This window comes from Homo sapiens, chromosome 8 (assembly GCF_000001405.40).
Source record: "Homo sapiens chromosome 8, GRCh38.p14 Primary Assembly".
In the NCBI taxonomy this organism is placed as follows: Eukaryota; Metazoa; Chordata; class Mammalia; order Primates; family Hominidae; genus Homo; species Homo sapiens.
The window spans coordinates 139,842,371-139,860,347 of NC_000008.11; the positions used below are offsets into that span (position 1 = coordinate 139,842,371).

General features: G+C 52.4%; 1 protein-coding gene across 11 annotated transcripts in view, besides 2 other annotated features; it reads right to left on the reverse strand.

Moving 5' to 3' along the window:
- Positions 1–17,977, reverse strand: part of TRAPPC9 (trafficking protein particle complex subunit 9) — a 730,855-nt gene that overhangs the window by 114,646 nt on the left and 598,232 nt on the right. The window lies entirely within an intron of this gene.
- Positions 1,986–2,509: an enhancer, noted in NCBI's record as "H3K4me1 hESC enhancer chr8:140856599-140857122 (GRCh37/hg19 assembly coordinates)". NCBI's record gives its function as "activates a minimal SCP1, AML or CMV promoter by ChIP-STARR-seq in naive H9 embryonic stem cells {active_cell/tissue: H9 hESC(naive)}" and the evidence as "EXISTENCE:reporter gene assay evidence [ECO:0000049][PMID:30033119]".
- Positions 5,404–5,959: an enhancer, noted in NCBI's record as "H3K27ac-H3K4me1 hESC enhancer chr8:140860017-140860572 (GRCh37/hg19 assembly coordinates)". NCBI's record gives its function as "activates a minimal SCP1, AML or CMV promoter by ChIP-STARR-seq in primed H9 embryonic stem cells {active_cell/tissue: H9 hESC(primed)}" and the evidence as "EXISTENCE:reporter gene assay evidence [ECO:0000049][PMID:30033119]".

The following is a 17,977-nucleotide window of genomic DNA, read 5'->3' on the forward strand; positions in this document are numbered from 1 at the left end:
GGCTTCCAGCCAGGCCTCCGCACTCCACATTCAAAGTGAACAGCAAGAGTTTCTAAGGGAAAAAACAAACCCTACTTCTAACTCTTGTCAAAGCAGATACTGGCTTCGATCGCACAGACATCCCCCACTGACACCAGCTTCACAGCAGCCCTGACAAATAAACACAGTCGGCAGGCGATTCATCACATTTGTAAATTGAATCAACATCCGCTCTCGCCTTCGTGCCCGGGGCCATGATCACAGCATGGCCCCCGCCTGAGAAGGCTGGACTCCCATGGAGGAGGGGCTGGCAGGGGGTGGGGAGGGGGCGGGCCTGTGGCACAGAGAAGTGTCCCTCCACCGCCCTGTCCTGCTGTTTGCTGTCCTGCCCATAGACGGGCTCAGGGTGCTGGCCATTGTGCTTCTGGGAGGGCATCCTGGTCAGCTGGTGGGTCCTCCGAGTTCTGCACTTACAGTCACTAATGTAGCAGCTGCACTGCCAGGTCCTACAACCGGGTTTCATTTCATGTCACCCCTCTAATCTTAAGCAGATTTTCATCGCACAGATGAGGAAGCTGAGGTCCGGGCAGGTGAAGGAACAGTACGTGGCAGGCTGGGCATACCTTGCCAGATGCTTCCAGCCAACCTGGCCTGCCCCAGCCACTGCCCAGCCCCAGGCCTGGTGGTCCAGATAGAGGCAGCTGAAGGGCGGGGACTGGGCTGTCTTGTTTGTTGGTTTATACCTTATGTGCAATACCATGCCTGGCATATGGTGGGCACTCGACACATAGGGCTAAGTGGAAGAACACGTGGCATGCTGTAGGCATTTGGGCATCTGCTGAATAAACAGTCATGTGAGGTAAACAAGGCAGAGACCACTGGCCTCGTTTTATGCACAGATAAACTGAGGCTCAGAAAAGTGAATTCCCAGAGCCAGCAGGAGGGCGGCAGGGCTGAGACTCGGCCCCGGGGCTGGTCACTGGCTCACTGCTCTCTGGGACTTCCAGGTGCCTGCAGAACCACAAGGGAGAAGCCTTGAAATGCCCACTTGTGCATCAAGTGAACTTGGACTCCTCTGAATTTCTGTCATTCATAGCAGGTGTGATAGGCAGAACGATCCCTCCCAAAGATCCTGACCCACGGAACCGGTGGACTGGTGTTCTTCCACGGCCAAAGGGGAATTAAGCTCACTTGGAGACAGGAAGCTCATCCTGAATTATCCAGGTGAGCCCCACGTAATCACCAGGGTCCTTAAAAGTGAAAGAGAGAGGTAGAAACGTCAGAACCAGGGAGGGGGCATCAAGAGAAAGGCTGGACCAGCCACTGCTGGCTTTGGTGGAAGGGGCCGGGAGCCAAGGAGAGCAGGTGGCCTCTGGAAACCAGAAAAGGCAAGGAATGGATCCTCCTCAAGGGCCTCCAGAAGGAATGAGCCCCGTGACACCTCAATTTTAGCCCAGGAGCCCCACTTCTGACTCTGCCCTCTGGCACTGCATGAGAATAAATCTGTGTTGCTTTAAGCCACCATGTGCACGCTGATTCACCAGAGCAGCCTCCAGCCACTGCTGCAGCTGATGAGCTGCGGACTCCAGCGCTGGGCCCTCACTCCCCATACAGTGCTCTCTAGCTATTCCTTGGCAACCTGAGTGTGGCATATCTCGTCCTGTCCTCCCCACTCAGCTCTGGGTCTCCAGAAGGCATGGGCTGTGGACTTCTCCAGGCTTCAGCGGCTTCCCAGAGACCCATCTGCAGGCGAGCAGGTGACTATGCTCACCCGCCAGAGTCATAGAGTGGCTTTCATCAAGGAAACCTCCTCATCGCTAGGAGGACAAATTCAAGGACAGCTGTAGACTCCCAACTCTGTCCCTGCCCTGCTGGTACAGCGCCTCCCCAGCTTCACCTTCCTATGTGAAACAGGGCAACCTGAGACCACACCCGGCTGTTGTGAAGGTCATGTCCATTTCTTGGCAGAGTGCCTGGCAGGAGAAGGGGGTCAAACCAGGGTGGCCCCCTGCTTTGTCCTCCCCACATGAAATAATTGGGCTCTAAACATGTCACAGGATGAGAGAGAAGGATGAGGCTTTTCTATTTCGTCAAGACGTTCCTTCCCTGCTCTTTCTGTGAACAACGGAGGGGCCGTTAATTTTCCAGAAAGGAGAGTATGCACAGCCCTGTGCAGGGCGGGCAGTGGGTGAGGACTGCTCTATGGCTGGGCTGGTCCTGTCTGGACACAAACCACAGACTCTAAATTTTACACCTTAAATTAAGGAAGAGAAAAGGTGGAAGAGAGGCAGGTAAGAGCAGGAGAGCGGGGAGGAGCTCTGCTGGCATGGACTGCTGGTGGGAGTGGGGACTGGAATAAGCTTTGGGACAGTCTGGGGAAAATAGAATTGTTTTTCATTTTGTGGAAGGAAGGGCCACCTCATTCACCAGCTAAGCAAGGCCTTTCTCCTGCTTTCTCAGAAGGTCCAAGTTGCTTACAAATGCGATGCCTTTGCCCGGGGCCCCCAGCTGGCTGCGGCAACCTGCTGGCCAGGCTTGGCCTGAAGGCCTCAGCCACCCCCATGCTCCCAGTTCATCACCCCGTCCCCAGGCCTGGCACATCCCGTGTCAGCAGCTTGGTGTCCCACTGGGCCATCAGTACCACATCCTCCACACCTTCCCATCCGCCCCCTCTCCAGCCCTGCCCGGATTCATCGTGGTTTCTTGTGTGTCCCAGCACTCAAGCAACACGGAGCTGAGTTTCTCCAATTTGAGGTAGCTAAGGATGATGTCGCCTTTAAGGAGATACTAGGTTTGACCCTTGGTTTACCATTTACTGGTTATATGGTTGTATGACTTGGAAAAATTACTTTTTCTGGGTCTCAGGAATGAGGCTAATGCCACCAAGCATTGTAGGGTATGGGGAGGGGGAAAGGAGCTGCATGGGGTACAGTGGTGGCCCAGGCTGGCAGTCAATAGAGGCACAAACTCTCGCCTGTGCTCCACTGCATTCCTGGCCCAGGCCTTTATAAACATATACGGGTTCCATAAAAGCGTACGACATTAAAACGCACTGGAGTGCCAGATGGCTAATAGCTTCCTAATATCCACTTTCTCCCTCCAAAAGAATGGAACCCCAATATTTAGCTGGGCATATTAATGGAGCCCGTACTTCCAGGCTTCCCTTGCAATTGGGTATGGCACTATGACTAAGTCTGGCCAAGGGATGAAGGGAGAGGGTTTGTGCAAATTCCAGGAGGTCTCCTTACACCGGGGAGGGAGTGCCTTCCTCCTTTCCTCCATGCTCCCCGCAGTGTGGGAGCAGCTGTCCTGACTCCAGGCTGTGCCCCAGGGCAACGGCAGAGGTACAGTGCAGGTGCCTGGCACTGGTAGGTCACATCAGCTTTGGCCTGTCTGCCTCTCGATTTTAATGTGACGGAGACCTGTGAGCTTTACTGAAGCCACTATTACTCGGGGGTTTCTGCTACTTGCAGCCAAGTAGACCCTAACAGACAAGCTGTGGCCTTTGGGGCCAGGCAGGATCCTTGTTGTCAAAGGGTTTCCAGGCTGGCAGATGAGACCGGAAAGCCAGCCCATGGGTCAGAGCGGTGGAGGAGACACTCTGAAGAGGGAGCAGGAAGGACCAGAGCACCAGGGAAGGCTTCAGAGGATGTGGGGACTGGGAAGCTCCAAAGGGAAACATGGAGGAAGAGGTGGGTGCCGCAAGCTGAGGCCAAGGCCAAGGGGGCCGGCCTGGCCACGATGGGCCTTGAACTTCATTCTGTGAAGAAACACCGCTACAGGCTGCAGGGAGAGGAGGCATGGTCAGACAGCTCGGCTTGGTGCCGGAAGCGGTAGAGGCTGTGTGAACAGTCCCAGCAAGAACAGATGCCGGCCTGCGCTCATGGCTCCCCACTGAACCCGATGATCAATCATCAATCCCAGATTGAACTGAGCTCTTAGTTCCACCCCCCACCCCCCGCAGCAGGCAGCACTGCGGGAGGGTGGGGATCAGGATAACACTTGTCTGGCTTGGCTGCTGTTTTCCTATCCATGGCCCACGACCAGGCCCCACCAGTTGGCACCAGCCTGTGAAACGCAGACTCATCTCTCCGAACTGACTGCCTCTGGCAGGACGAGGTGAATTATCCTAAATCAAGGGGAGGCAGTGAATACATTATCTCAGGAATAAGAAGAAAAATGAAGATGGATATTTACAAACAACTCCTAAAGAAATTCACCCCCACACACATATAATTTTAATGGTCTCTGAAAGAAAAGGCAACTCTTTTGCTGAGCTCTAGTCAATCAGCATCAGCAAACACGATGCTAGCCGCATTGGAAGCTGACTGATACATTCAAAACTCTGACAGACGCGAGGCCATCCCGGAGTTGGGCATGGAGGAGGCCCATTCCCATCCTCCCTCATCCAGTCCCTGCTGTGCTGGGGCTGTGCCCAGCAGGCCACCCACCATGCTGTCTGTGGAGGAGGCCCAGGGTGAGCAGGCGCAGGTAGTAGGCTAACTGTACAGGCAGGCTGTGCATTCAAGACCACAGCAAATCAATCCATTTTTTTGATCATGCAAATTGATTATCTAAATCCATTAACAAGCTCTTGAAGCTATCTGGTCCAGTCAATCACACTATTCATTCCTTCAATCATGCATTCAGTGATGACTTATTAAGAGATGACTGTGTGCCGAGATCTGGGCTTGCAGCCATCCCTGCCCTGCAGGGTCCCCAGATGCAGCAACTGTGGGTGCGCAGCAGGACAAAGCTCTGACAACAGGGAAGGAAGAAGGCGCAAGACCATAAGAAGCAGATCAGAGGGTTCCTGGGGAGCAAATGCAGCAGCCTTCTAAAACTAAGGGCTTTTGCCAGCAGAGCTGAATGCTGGCTGATGGGAGACAGCAAAACCAATAGAGGTTTTCTGAGCGGGGGAAACACTCTTCCATCCACACACCCCCGGAACTGTGAGGTGAAAAACAAATGGAACCAATTTCCATCCTGGCTGAGGGATGGAATCAATGCAATTAATTCAGTCAGAAGGAAAGACACGTGCAAGCACAGGGGGTTCCGGAGCCAGTTCATCCCACTCCTCACCCAAATGCACACCACACTTGCAGACCAATGAGGAAACCCTGCAACAGTCCCGCCTCGGCCGGGTCTGGGGATGGGCACGAGCACCTGCCTCCCTGGAGGCCCGGCCTGGGGATGGGCACGAGCACCTGTCCCCTGGCGGCGTGGCCTGCAGATGGGCACGAGCACCTGCCTCCCAGGCGACCCAGCCTGCGGATGGGCACGAGCACCTGCCTTCCCGATGGCCTGGCCTGGGGATGGGCATGAGCACCTGCCTTCCCGACGGCCCGGCCTGTGGATGGGCATGAGCACCTGCCCCCCTGGTGGCCCAGCCTGCAGATGGGCACGAGCACCTGCCTCTCCGGCGGCCCAGCCTGCGGATGGGCACAAGCACCTGCCTTCCTGACGGCCCGGCCTGGGGATGGGTGTGAGCACCTGCCTCCCTGACAGCTGGTGAAGGCAACAGAAGCTTAAAGACCCTCCAAGGCAAAAAGCTCACCACCACCAAAGCCTCCGCTCCCTGCCGCCTCTGCCTGTGCCCTGTGTCAGCAGCAGCCCTGGGGCACGTGGGGCCTGGACTTGGTCTGCCGGAACTGGAACAAGGCCCCTAGCCCCTCACGCAGGGCCTGTCCCAGGAGCTCCATAGCCTCTTTCCTTGGACAAATCACACCATCTAAAGGGCTTTTTCCATAAGCATTGTAGGGAGAAGGGAAGCAGGTATGGAGGGACAGGCAGATGACAGCCTAGGTCTAGACAGGACTGCATGACTGAAGACAAATGTCCCCTGTCCAGCCAGCCGCCGCCTCCTGAGCACCAAGTGTGCATCACACGCGAGGGGCACTTTGCTCACTCCTCTGCAAGCTTCCCTGCAAACACTGCAGATAAAATACTATTAACTGAAGCCCATGTTGCCTCTAAAGATGACAGAAAATAGACGAAATACACACATGCATGAGAGACATGCACACATGCACACAGATATCCAGTCTAGAGTGGCATATCACACGGTGATAGATTGATTGCCTGCAATACACAACCCAGAGAGGAAAACTTCCAGTGTTTATTAGGAAACCAGGACATGAGATATGGAATAAACATATATGTGAGATATATATATATATACACACACACACACATATATATATCCAAAATCTATGTGTGTGCATATAGCTCAAGTTGGATCACCTTCTATATATAGACATACAAATGTATAGATACAGCTCTCCCCATATAAATATGCATGTGTGGGTATATATATCTCCCAGCTCCCGAAATAGAAGCCTATATACTTAGATGAATTACAGTGTTTAAAAAGAAAGACTCAGGAGTGGTGTGTGCCCATGTTCCCAACAAGCCCTTGTTGTCTTTCTCTTCCCCGTAGGCAGCCTTCCCTTGGCTCAGCGTTTGCTTCGCCAACTCTAGATGCTGCTGCTTCACATACTGAAGCCCCTCAGCAGGTGTGCTGTCTAGCCTGACCGTGCCATATGAGGCTAGAGACAGATTTGCTCAGAATGCAGTGTTTTGCAGACATCCAAAGTTGGATGGAATCATCTTGAAAAGCTTTTGCCTGGTCAATTCAGAACACTCAATGTGGGTGACTTCCCGGCCCCCTGATTCTGCCTGAGAGTTACTCAAGGTGCCAACTGGCCCCCAAGTCAAACGAGAGTGCTCAGTGTCCCCTTGGACTCTGGATGACAAATCACCAGCCATTTCTCAGGCAAAGCCATTCCCAAATTGCATTGAGCCTTCGTCTAGGATACCTGGAGAAAAGATCTCCCGAGAACTCCAAAAGCCCACTTAGAGGGCCACAGCCAGAAACAGAGCAAATGGGAGGTGGGTGATGTGGGTTGGGCCATTAAGACACTGCTCTCTTGACACCAGGAGAGGTTCCCTGTTGACACCAAGCATCTCCAATCATTTGCCACTGGGGCTGTCCCTGTGTTCTACTCAGGGGCCAGCAGCGGCCAAGGCCATGACTCTGGGAAAGTCCGCTGTGTGCCAGATACCAGAACAGAAACCAGAACAGGTGTAGCTGCTCCCTCTCCTCTCCTTCTGGTTCTGCATTTTCATTATGTACCTTATTCTAGCCACAAGAATGTCTTAAGGAAATTATGGAATAACTATACTTTTATAATGTAAATGTATTACATTACAATATTAAACAGATCACATGTTCCAGGTTATAGATCAGAGTACTTCGTGTAATATTCAATAATGCGCCATATGGTGTGTGGACACTGTTGTGGTAACACCATCATGAGTGTGAACGTTTTCTGAGCGTGTCCACACTAGGAAGTGTGCTCAGTGCTCTCTGCCCTCTGCCTCACTGAATTCTTGAGTTCTAAGATATTAATGTCCTCATTTTACAGAGGATGAGATGGTCAGGAGGTGAAGCCACTTCTTCACAGTGGAGTCTGTCTGCCCAGAGAGCCAGCTCTGCCAGCATACCTCACTTCGCCCTGGCTCAGAACCAGTGTTTCCGACCTGAAGGAGGCCCTGAGGTGGCTCCTGTCCAGGAGAGGGCCTGGAATGGTCTGAGGGCCTGAAAGCTCTTATCCTCCTTGTCCACCAGTGACCAGACCTCCCAGGGGCTCTCTGCTCTGCTTCTCGGTTCCCGCATCAGCTCCCAGGAACACTTGAGCCCAACCCTGCATCTCTGTCCAATTGCTTAGAACTCTGAGCCCCTTCTCAGTGCTCCCCTGGGGACTAGACCATTATGAAATTGCTCTGATATCTGTTTTCTCACCTCATACATATGACAAATGGGTATGAGGGACTGAGAAGAGGCTCAGAAGAATGAAGTAGTAACTAGAATTTTTGAATGTCTACCATGGGCTGATCACAGTGGTAATTATTTTATGTGCATGACATCAATTAATGCTTACCCTGCAGATGGCTGGTTCTCATGATAAGCAGGGGCAGAGCCAACACTAGAACCCAGGGCTCCTGACTCGCAGAGTTCAGTGTTCTTTCCAGATAGCCCAAAGCACCAGTGCCCCTCATGGGGCAGGAGCTCTTGGTGGCTCTCTTGCCATTGCAATCCCAGCATTGCCTTGTCCTGGGGAGAAACTGAGCTACCTGTGACAACACTGTAATCAGAAGTCATCATAATTGTTAAAGGAAGAGCAAAATGCTAATATACATGCCAATGCATCTGAAAACCACTGGGCCATATAATTAGCCATTTGTAGGGATATAAGTCACAGAAGGAAAACTTTTTTCTGTGTCAATGAGTTGAACAATCAAGTCATTCATCCATCCATCTACAAATGCATATGGCCATCTACCCACTCATCAGTGGTCCACCCATTTATCCTTTCACCATCCAATTGTCTACTAATCCAGTCTTCATCCCTTCACCCAATTATACACTGACCCATCTGACCATTGACCCATCTAGCTATCAACTCATCTTCCCATATACTCAGCCCCCATCCACCTTCCCAAAAATCACTTAATGAAGTCCTACCACACACCAAGAAGCATTCCTGATATGGCAGGATCAAGATGAGTAAGATATCCTCCATGCTCAAAAGAACTCTGTCTAAAAGAGATCATCGTGTAAAAAGAAAACTGCAGAAGCTCTCCATCCACAGATTTTCACCTTAGGAACTTTCACAAGCATCAGTAATGGAGAAAATGCACATCAGCTCAGCTCCCAAGCAGCAGATGATGTCATGGGTTCCTTACACACTGTTACTGTCAGAGCCTAACCTGTCAGTGAATAGAGGAACTTCTGTATAACAATGTGATCAGACAGCGATATGAACCACTGCAGAGAGGTATGAACAACGTACAATGGGAGCCGAGGAGAGCAGTATATCAGGGTCAGGGAACAGCATACTTTCTTGAACTTGACCGGATTCAAACCTAAGTCAATGTCCTTCCAGAACACACACTCTCCCCGTGTCACCATGCTACTTTCAACTGGAATTCAGGAGCTCAGACCCACAGCAACTCAAAAGATAGATGCTGACCACAGATGTCACCAACTGCTCCTCCATCTTGACTCCGGGAGCTGTATGCGAGTGACAACAGGATGGTGGTTAGACGGTGGTGCATCCCGGAAGGCATGGGACCGGGCCTGCTTTCCACCTGGTACCTATTTCAAACGGGGATGAACGGTCAAATCATCCATCAGAGCAGGTCCCTGAACTCTGGTCTCCAGAGGAAGCAGAGCAAGTGGGATAGCACTAACACGAGAACACAGCCTGGGAATCCTGGAGAGTGCCGGAAAACCGAACCCAACGTTCAAAAGGGAAATGAGTCGGGAAGGGGAAAGGTCCCGCGGACTCACGGCAAATGTTTACATTTGATGATCTTTGGAACATATGCATGGCTGCATACAGTACTTGCTGTTAACATTATAGAGAAGCCTGAGCTGGCACCAGCAGGAGATCTCCAAAGTCATTCAGTCACGCACAGTCTCCCCGAAGGATCTGGGTGGGCTCTGTGAGGGGCAGGTGGAGAAGGACACTGGATTTGGTGAACGGACTGGCTGTGCATCCCACAGATGCTCCTGGAGGGTCTGCCAGGGGAATGAAGGACGTCTCTGATATGGTTTGGCTGTGTCCCCACCCAAATCTCATCTTGAATTCCCATGTGCTGTGGGAGAGTCCCCGTGGGAGGTAATTGAATCATGGGGGCAGGTCTTTCCTGCGCTGTTCTCGTGATAGTGAGTACGTCTCATGAGATCTGATGATTATAAGGAGCTTTCCTACATAAGCTCTTTCTTTGCCTGCTGCCTTCCACAGATGATGAGACTTGCTCCTCCTTGCCTTCCACCACAATTGTGAGGCCTCCCCAACCACGTGGAACTGTGAGTCCAATTAAACCTCTTTCTTTTTAAAGACATGCCCAGTCTCAGGTATGTCTTTATCAGCAGCATGAAAATGGACTAATACAGTCTCTGAGATCTAACCTCTCCCTCCTTCACACTCCAGAACACTAGTGTGCGCCCATGTTATTTCTGGTACCGGATCATGAATTCATGGGTTGATGCCCGCCTTCCCCACTGGACAGGAGGCTCCTCACCGAGTGCCAGATACACAGTGCGTGCTCTGACAATATCTGTTCTCCTCCCTGGTCCTGGTTCTGCCACTGATGAACTTCCTTCTTGTGGGCAGTTTCCAAATGTATAAAATGACAGAGAACAGTCAGACTGATGATTTCTACCTGGGCTCCCAAAGGCACTAATGGTGTTAATGGTAATGATTCTCAATATTTCAGACAATCAGTTGGAAATCATGTGTTTATCTTCCATCGGGCAGCACAAACCAAAGAAAATATTCCATTTTCTCCCTCTGGGCTGGCATGGTCTCTGTTCTATGAGGTTACACCAGCTACCTTGGGCTGGCTGGGAGCTCTGGTTGGCAGATGTGTGTTTCTGATTGATGACATGAAAAGGTAAGTTCATGATCCTTTATTCAAGAGGATGGGATATCATCTTTCAAAATATGGGCAGCCCCTGGGGAGAGGAAACTGCAAACATAGTCTCTTGGAGGTAGGCAGAGCAAACTGGCATCTTGAGTTCTGGCCTGCCCCCTGTCTGATCATCTGGGTCAGCCGCTGACCAAGCCATACGCTGCTGTTCGTCATTCGCAAAGGTTCTTTGTATCTTCTTTCCCGTGAGTCTAGGCTTCCCAAGAAGTGTTCCGTGGTGACGCCAACACCTGGCATTAAACCACTCCTGTCTTGTCAGCATGGGGACGCTCCATGCTGAATTCTGTAAAGGCCTCTGGCCCCCAGGCCTTCCCTGTTCCAGATGGTTCTGGCCAGCCTTCCCAAGCTCGGCTCCTGTAGCACATGGCGGTGGCAGGAGCAATGTGCAGGATGCTTGCCCTTCGGGAGACACGACAACCAGTTTCCCATTTGCAGTGTGGGTCCTCATGAGAAAAGGAGGAGGGGAGGCCAAGCGATCAGAGGCATTTTCCAAATCTCTTCTCCTTTTTAGGAAAGAGCCAGAAACTGTATCCCCGCGCCCATGGTACCTATGACTCCCCCATCTTATTCACCAAAGAGACTCTGCCCCACAGGTGGAAGGGACTGGGAAGAAAGGGACAGAACTCTGTTCATCCTGAATCACCTGCACCTAGCACAAGTCAGGTGTTCAAGAAATGCTTGCTGACCGAATGAACAAAGGAAGGAAATAATAAATGCAAGGACTAATGAATGAACAAACAGGGCTTCAGCCACCACCTCCTGCAGGGTGGGGATTCAGGCCTAAGCTCTAAAAAAAACAGGAGGCCTTTGCATCAGTTCCTCCTGGGCCAATGATGGCTGGACCCAGGAAGGGGCTGGGCCAGGGGCAGGCTGGGGGCAGTGGACTGCTGAGAGCAACATGTGCTCACTCTGAGCACCCAGGGTAGAGCCGGGACAGAGGCCTCTCAATGGACAAGGGCCTGAGAGCCAAGGTAGGGTATCTTTACAAAGGAAGCGAAGGGCTCTTATTTTAGTTTTGGGTTTTCTAATTATTTGCAAATAAATATGTTAATATTTTATACTACCTACATATGTGTAGTTATCACATACATGTGTATACCATACGTATATAATACTATATTATACCAAAATATTATTTAATTTTATGGTTTAATTTTGTTTTAATCCTCAGGGCAAATGGTCTCACTGAAAGGGTCATCCAAACAAAACAATAAAACCAGGAAAATTAACACATCTGACCACGTTTTTGCCTTCAACATTCTACAGGAGAAAACTCATCACTCTCTATCTGATTATCGGACCCTGGGAGGGATTTGCGAGGCTTTCTGGGTTCAGAAACCTCAGGAGGTCGAGTTCTTCCACACTCTGGAATGTTTTCCACCCCCTACATGACTCTGGAACATCAGAACTGAAGTCATCTCACTTTCTTTGAGTCAGAATCGATAGGGGTGGCTGGTTCCCTGGAGCCTCAGCTCACAGACGCTGCCATGAATGACGCTTTTAGTACAGGAAAGAGGCAGGAGCCCACGCTGGGGCAGGCCTCACTCTGCCACTTGCCAGCCACGGAAGCTGGGCACTGGCCAGGCCCTTGGTGTCCGTGTCTGTGCCCTGGGGTCAGGGAGGTGACACCTGGAGCACCCAGCACAGGACCCAGCACACAGAACGCCTTCAGTAAGGGCAGCCCATCAGCCACCCAGATTCAAACCCTGGTTCCTCCACTTCCAGCTATGTGGCTCCACGGAAGGAGCTTAACCTCTCTGAGCCTCGGTGAGATGGTAAGAGTAGCAGGGGCCGTAGCTACACTCGGCATCACGCCTGCACACGTAAAATCCTAGTAGGTGCTGCTCTCATCCTCTCCTCTCTGCTTTCTCTTTCCTGGTCAAATCTCACAGAAGCCTTGCTTGCAGCTACCCTCAGCAGCATCTGAGGACTTGGCAGTGGCAGGTTCTCAAATAAGCTCAGGAAAGAGGGTGCCAAACAGGCACTGAGGCCAGCGCTGGTTTCCCTACGACCTGCCTGGGAAGCACACTGGCCTGCTCATGCCCCCTAAAATCACCCAACCTGGCTACCCCCTTCCTGGCTTGAAGCGAGGGCTGATGGGGTACCGAGCCTTGGCATGGGCTGGCTCCTTCCCTTCCTATCAATCGTCTTCATTCAAAGCTGGCACGGTCTCCTGAGGCAGATGCGTCAATGATTAAACCATTATTTGTTCATGTCTCTGAGAGGCGGGAGACGCTGCCTCCTCCACAAACATCCCTGGAAGCCAATCGGGCCTACCTGGTCTCCTTGTAACCCAGAGCTGGGCTGCAGATCAAAAGACAAGTAAATAAAATAGGCCCAAAGATTCTGCATCTAGACTATCAAACCAAAATAGGTATGGGAAGTGAAGAGGCAGCAGCTAAATATTTGTTTTCCTCGGTAATCAGGTGAGCAGGCCTGGGCTTTCCAGACCTCCTGTTTAGAATCCCACGCTGCTCCCACGCAGCCCTAGGGTCAGTGCAGTGCCTGGCGCTCAGCTCCAGGCCCTAGCAGGCAGGGGTACCTTGCCATGTCACTTCCTTCTCTGAACTTCAGATTCAATACCTTCAAATGACAACGGCATCATCAACATGGCAGGTCCACGTGGAGACCCGAGAGGATAAAAAGAAATTCCCAGGCAGCTCACCACAGCTGTGCAAGTGCTTACACGACGCGTCATCTCGGCTCCGCTCCTGACCTTCTAGATAAGATTCCCTGGAAGGTGAGGGAGTGGGAAGTCCCCTGTTTACGCTCTTCAGGGGAGTCTTATGCGGTCAGCCCAGGCCCTGGCGCCTCTCTCTGGGAACCTCTAATGAAAAGCCCTACCAAGGTGGGAGGATGTCCAGGAGCGGCATGTGGGGCATGTCCTGTCTTCTGCCGCAAGCCCGCTCGACCCCAGCACCTCAGGGCCGCCCTTGTGAAGAGGCCACTTGATGCGTGGTTTATAAAGCTCATAAGACTGGCAATTGCTTGAGGCACGGGCCAAGCCATATGCCTCTTATTTCATCAGTAACAGGAAACCTGGGTCCCCCACAGAACTAGGGGGCAGTGAGGCCTGGTAAAAAGCATTTGCATGTTGAGACAGATAGAATTGGGTTCAAATTCTTGATCTTCTCTATCTAGTCTGACCTTGAGCAAGTTCCCCAACTCCGAGTCCCAGGGCCTTCATCATTAAAATAAAAATGATGCTCTCCAGCTTCACAGGCTGTGTGGGAGGGTGACCGAGGCAACGCACACAGCCAGGGACACGGAGCACAGACTGAGCCAGTGCACTGAGTTTCTTTCCCTCTGTGCCGTGCTCTCAGCCAGGGCCCCTCAGATGTGGGGATTTGGAGGAGAGGCCTGTGGAGTGGGGGTGGAGGGGCACACAGGCACTGGAGGGGCTGCAGGTTGGGGACTGAATTTCAGCATACCTCTTCCAGCCTTTGGCCACCTCTCCCTGCAACCACCTCAGGGTCAAGGCCAACCCTCTCCGGGGATTTTTTCCTGAAGCCATCTCTGCTCCCCAGAAAGCAAGACCTCAGACAGCCCTGCGGCGGCTCCCCTTCCTCTACTGCCCTCCCCCTCTGGGACCGGGAGGCCAGGAGACTTGGCCTTGGGAAGCGAACCCACCAGCTCCCCGCTGCAGCCTGAGTCTAGCAGGAGAGAGGTGTGGGACAATGTCCTCTCAGCTTCCCCTGAGCTCATGGGTAACACAGGTCAACAGCAAAGCAGCTGGACAGCGGCGGGGGGTGGCGTGCAAAATGGATTTGTGAATGTTCTCAAGAGCAACGGCATTAGCTGCACTGTGAGCACTAACTCCCTTTGTAAATAGGACAGGCTTGCTTTCACTGTTAATTTCCTCCCATGTCAAAAACCAGCACCTGCAAAAAAAAAAAAAAAACCCAAGTGTTGAAGGAAGGGGAGGGGATGGAGGAAAAGTACAGGCAAAACCAGTGAGGTGGAAGGAGAACGTGCTCATTCATTCAAACATTCATCTACCCACCCATTCATTCTAATGTTGTCTGTCATGTTTCATTCAAGTATTCTCTAAGCTGCTGCTGTGAACCTGACGCTGCTGAGCACAGGGACACAGAGATGACTCGGGCACACACCTCTGCTCCCGGGAGCACTGAGGTCTGAGAGAGGAAGCAGGGTGATAAGGAGCAACGGGACAGTCGGGACGCCCTGGGAATCTGGGCGGGGGGAGCTGGTTCAGACAGAGGTGAAAGAGCAGAAAGGTGCCCAGGGCACTCCAGGCAGAAGGAAAGCATGTGTGAAGGCAGGGGAGTGTGAGAGTCCATGGTTTCCAGCAAGTGCACAGGGATCAGCACAGCAGAGGAGGGAGCGGTGGAGCGCCAGGAGGTGAGGCCAGAGGCTGGCGGCGGCTCATGGGCCTGGTATCGCAGGACACACGCAGGAGTCTGGTTTGTATCTTGAGGATAAAGAGTGCTAATGAACATTTGCAGGGGAAGGCCTGTCCCATGGAGGCAAGGCGAGGCATAGCAATATTTCCAGTGTGCTCGCTGACAATCTGAGTGCGATTCTCCCCACATCCCAACAGCAACCCAAGGCGACAGTCCCCATTTTATCTCCACTTGACAGCTGGGGAAGCCGAGGGTCACACAATAAACACATGGGGCAACGTGGACCCCAGTCCAGGCCTGCTGACACCAAGTCCAAGGCCCGTTCACTCTCACGGCTGCCACTGGCCGAGGAAGGCATGGTGGCCACAGAGCAGCCTCACAACAGCCGGAGCAGCCACAGGAGCTCCGTATGGTGCCCTCTGAGAGTCAGGAGCTGAGCATGGGGCCGTCTGACCACCTCTGCCTCCTCCCTGCCTGGGCGGCCCGCTGCTTGTAAAGCAACTTGCTCACCAGGAAGCACGAGGCTGGGTGCCCTGGGCTGCCTGCCAACAGCTGCACACAGCCAGCAGCAGGTGGAGAGAGCAACTAGCCCCAAAAAAGGTGCAATGGACCCAGGTGGCCTGGCCAGGGACCCTGCTGCCTTCAGCTGTTATTGACAGGTCACCGAAGAGGCAGTTGTCCCCATCTCTAGCACTTGTCTCCCAACCATCGAGCCATCAGCTCAACATCAGGGCCTTCCCAGTTGTCCACTGTGGATAAACATCTGGCAGTAGAAAGGAAGAGAAAGGAGGCTTCACCATCTGGGAGAACTGCTTCCAAAAAGGCTACTCGAAGGAACCTGCTCAGAAGTGGGACCAAAGCATCATGGCAAATAAGATGTGACTGGGGCTTTGCCTTGAAAAATGAAATCTAAAAACATTATGAAAACAAGTTTATTAGGGGTCATACATAATAAAATTCAGGTTCCCTTTGCCATAAGGACTAACTCTTTAAACAACAACAACAACAAAGAAAGAGTCAAGTTTTGGCTGCTTTTTCCTGTACTTTTCTGACAAACGTGTGTGACAGCACAGCATGGGGTGCTTCCTTTGCACCTGACTTCCGCGATCATAAGGAGGGTTGTGCATCTTTGCGTGATGCTTGCCGTGCCTCCCCGGGGCCTCCGCCCAGCTGCTGAGACCCAGGCCAGCTCCTCTGCCGGGCTCCTCCACGGCTCAGGGTGGGACTCCAGCCGCATGCAGCTCTTCCATGCCATTTTTATCAATCTAGAGAAACATGCATCTTTCCCAAGATTTTTAGTTGACTTTGCAACTGACTCACATCTTCTCTGCACTCCACTGTCAGGTGTGTATACATAGGGGACAGCCAGGAAGGCCCCAGTAGATCTGGGGACTGGGTGGGTGGGAGATCAGTGCTAGAGGGGACAGGACACAGGTGAGGGGCCCCCTCCCCAAGAGTCTGCTCGTCCATGAGTGTCTACACCTGCAACACAGCCGGCACCTGCAGGAACTTAACTGCTCAATGATAATGCTCTGTGCCTTCAAGCAGCACCAACGGTTTTGCCGAGGCCAGAGCCGACAAGTAGCCACTGCGACCGGGACTGTGAATCCGGGGGGGGCACAGTCTGCACACCCTCCCCACCCGCTCTAAACCTGTCCCTTTAAACACGCCTCGCATAAGTCCCATCTCTCAGTCTTGGCTCCTCCTACGGTCTCCATCTAGAAGCCGTCTCCTCTGCTTCTGCACGGTGAAATTGGGCCCCGAGTTTCAGATATCTCTGAGATGTCACGTCTTCATGGGTTCTCCCTCCTTTCCCACAGCAGACGCTGCCCTTTCAGCACTCCCTGTCCTCTATGCTCTAGGAGTGGCGTGGAGGCCAAGCTGAGGGATTTTGTTTCTCCAGGGTTACTCCTCCAGCCCCCCGGTTTCTGGCCCGAGTCAGAGTCCAGGAGGAGTCACCGCTGTGCACCGAGCTGCCTGCGTCTGATGCCACGTGCCCCTGTGTGGCCGTGTGACCTGAGGGGTCTCTCCGTTCCTGGACTCCTGGCTCGCAGCACCCAGGAGCTTTTAGGCCGGCTCCTTTCCTGATCACCAAGCCCAGCCTGCGCTTCCATTTTTGGATGCAGCAATCACTACCGCTCACTGTCCTAATGACCCCCAGAGACATTTAGTTAAGGCAGCGCTTCTATTGCTTACTAAGCAAAGCTGAATTTCTGCATAATAAAGTTCACGCTTCCAGAAATAGCAGAGGCATCTGGATGGTAACATGTCACAGCTTCAGAAAGAAGGAAAATTCATGCTTCTCCCTGATGACATCATGACACTTTCTCCATTCCAAAAAAGAGAATGACCAGTGGCTGCTCTGCTCCCCAACCGGAGACACTCAGCCTACACACACAGAATGGGTCCTGATGTCAGATCTGCCCCATGCGGCCAGACGGCCAGAGAGAAGCTGGGGACATATAACAGTTCAGCCAGGCCCTGGCACCCAGAGGATGTTGGGTGCCAAGAAGAGAGGCACGTCTTTGGGAAGAGCTGCAGTATGTTCTGGCCATCGTCAAGGGAGCTCTGTGGCCAGCAACCTGGGTTGGGGGACAGCAGGCAGTACCCTGAAGGAACCACGATAGGAGAGGGAAGGGACCTGCTCTGCTAATTCTTTAATTAAAACAAGTCCAGCCCCTCTGGGGCCACAGACCCCTTGGGAATATGATGAAAACTATGGACCCTATTCCCAGAAAAAGGAACTCACAGTCATAAAATGGGTACAACTTTATACGCTTTGGGGATGACTCACACCTCGACTCTTGGTTCAAACACTTGCTCACTGCAATGTGAGCTTTGTGAGAACAGGTCATCTTTTATCTCTGCAGCTCCAGTATCAGCACAGTGTCAGCACATCCAGTAGCCGGACAGATGTTTGTGGAGTGAATAAACAGTTGAATAAATGATCCTCCCAAACCACCCATGGCTGTCAGTGAGCCTTAACCAAGCACATGCACTCTAGAAAAAAGCCCACATCATCTTCAAAAGGTAGAGCTAGCCCACTGAAGACCAGCCGGGTATGACCCCACACATGCTGAGGCTCTCAGAACCCAGTCCAAAAGGGGCTGTTACACGGCTCCAAGGGGTGGAGG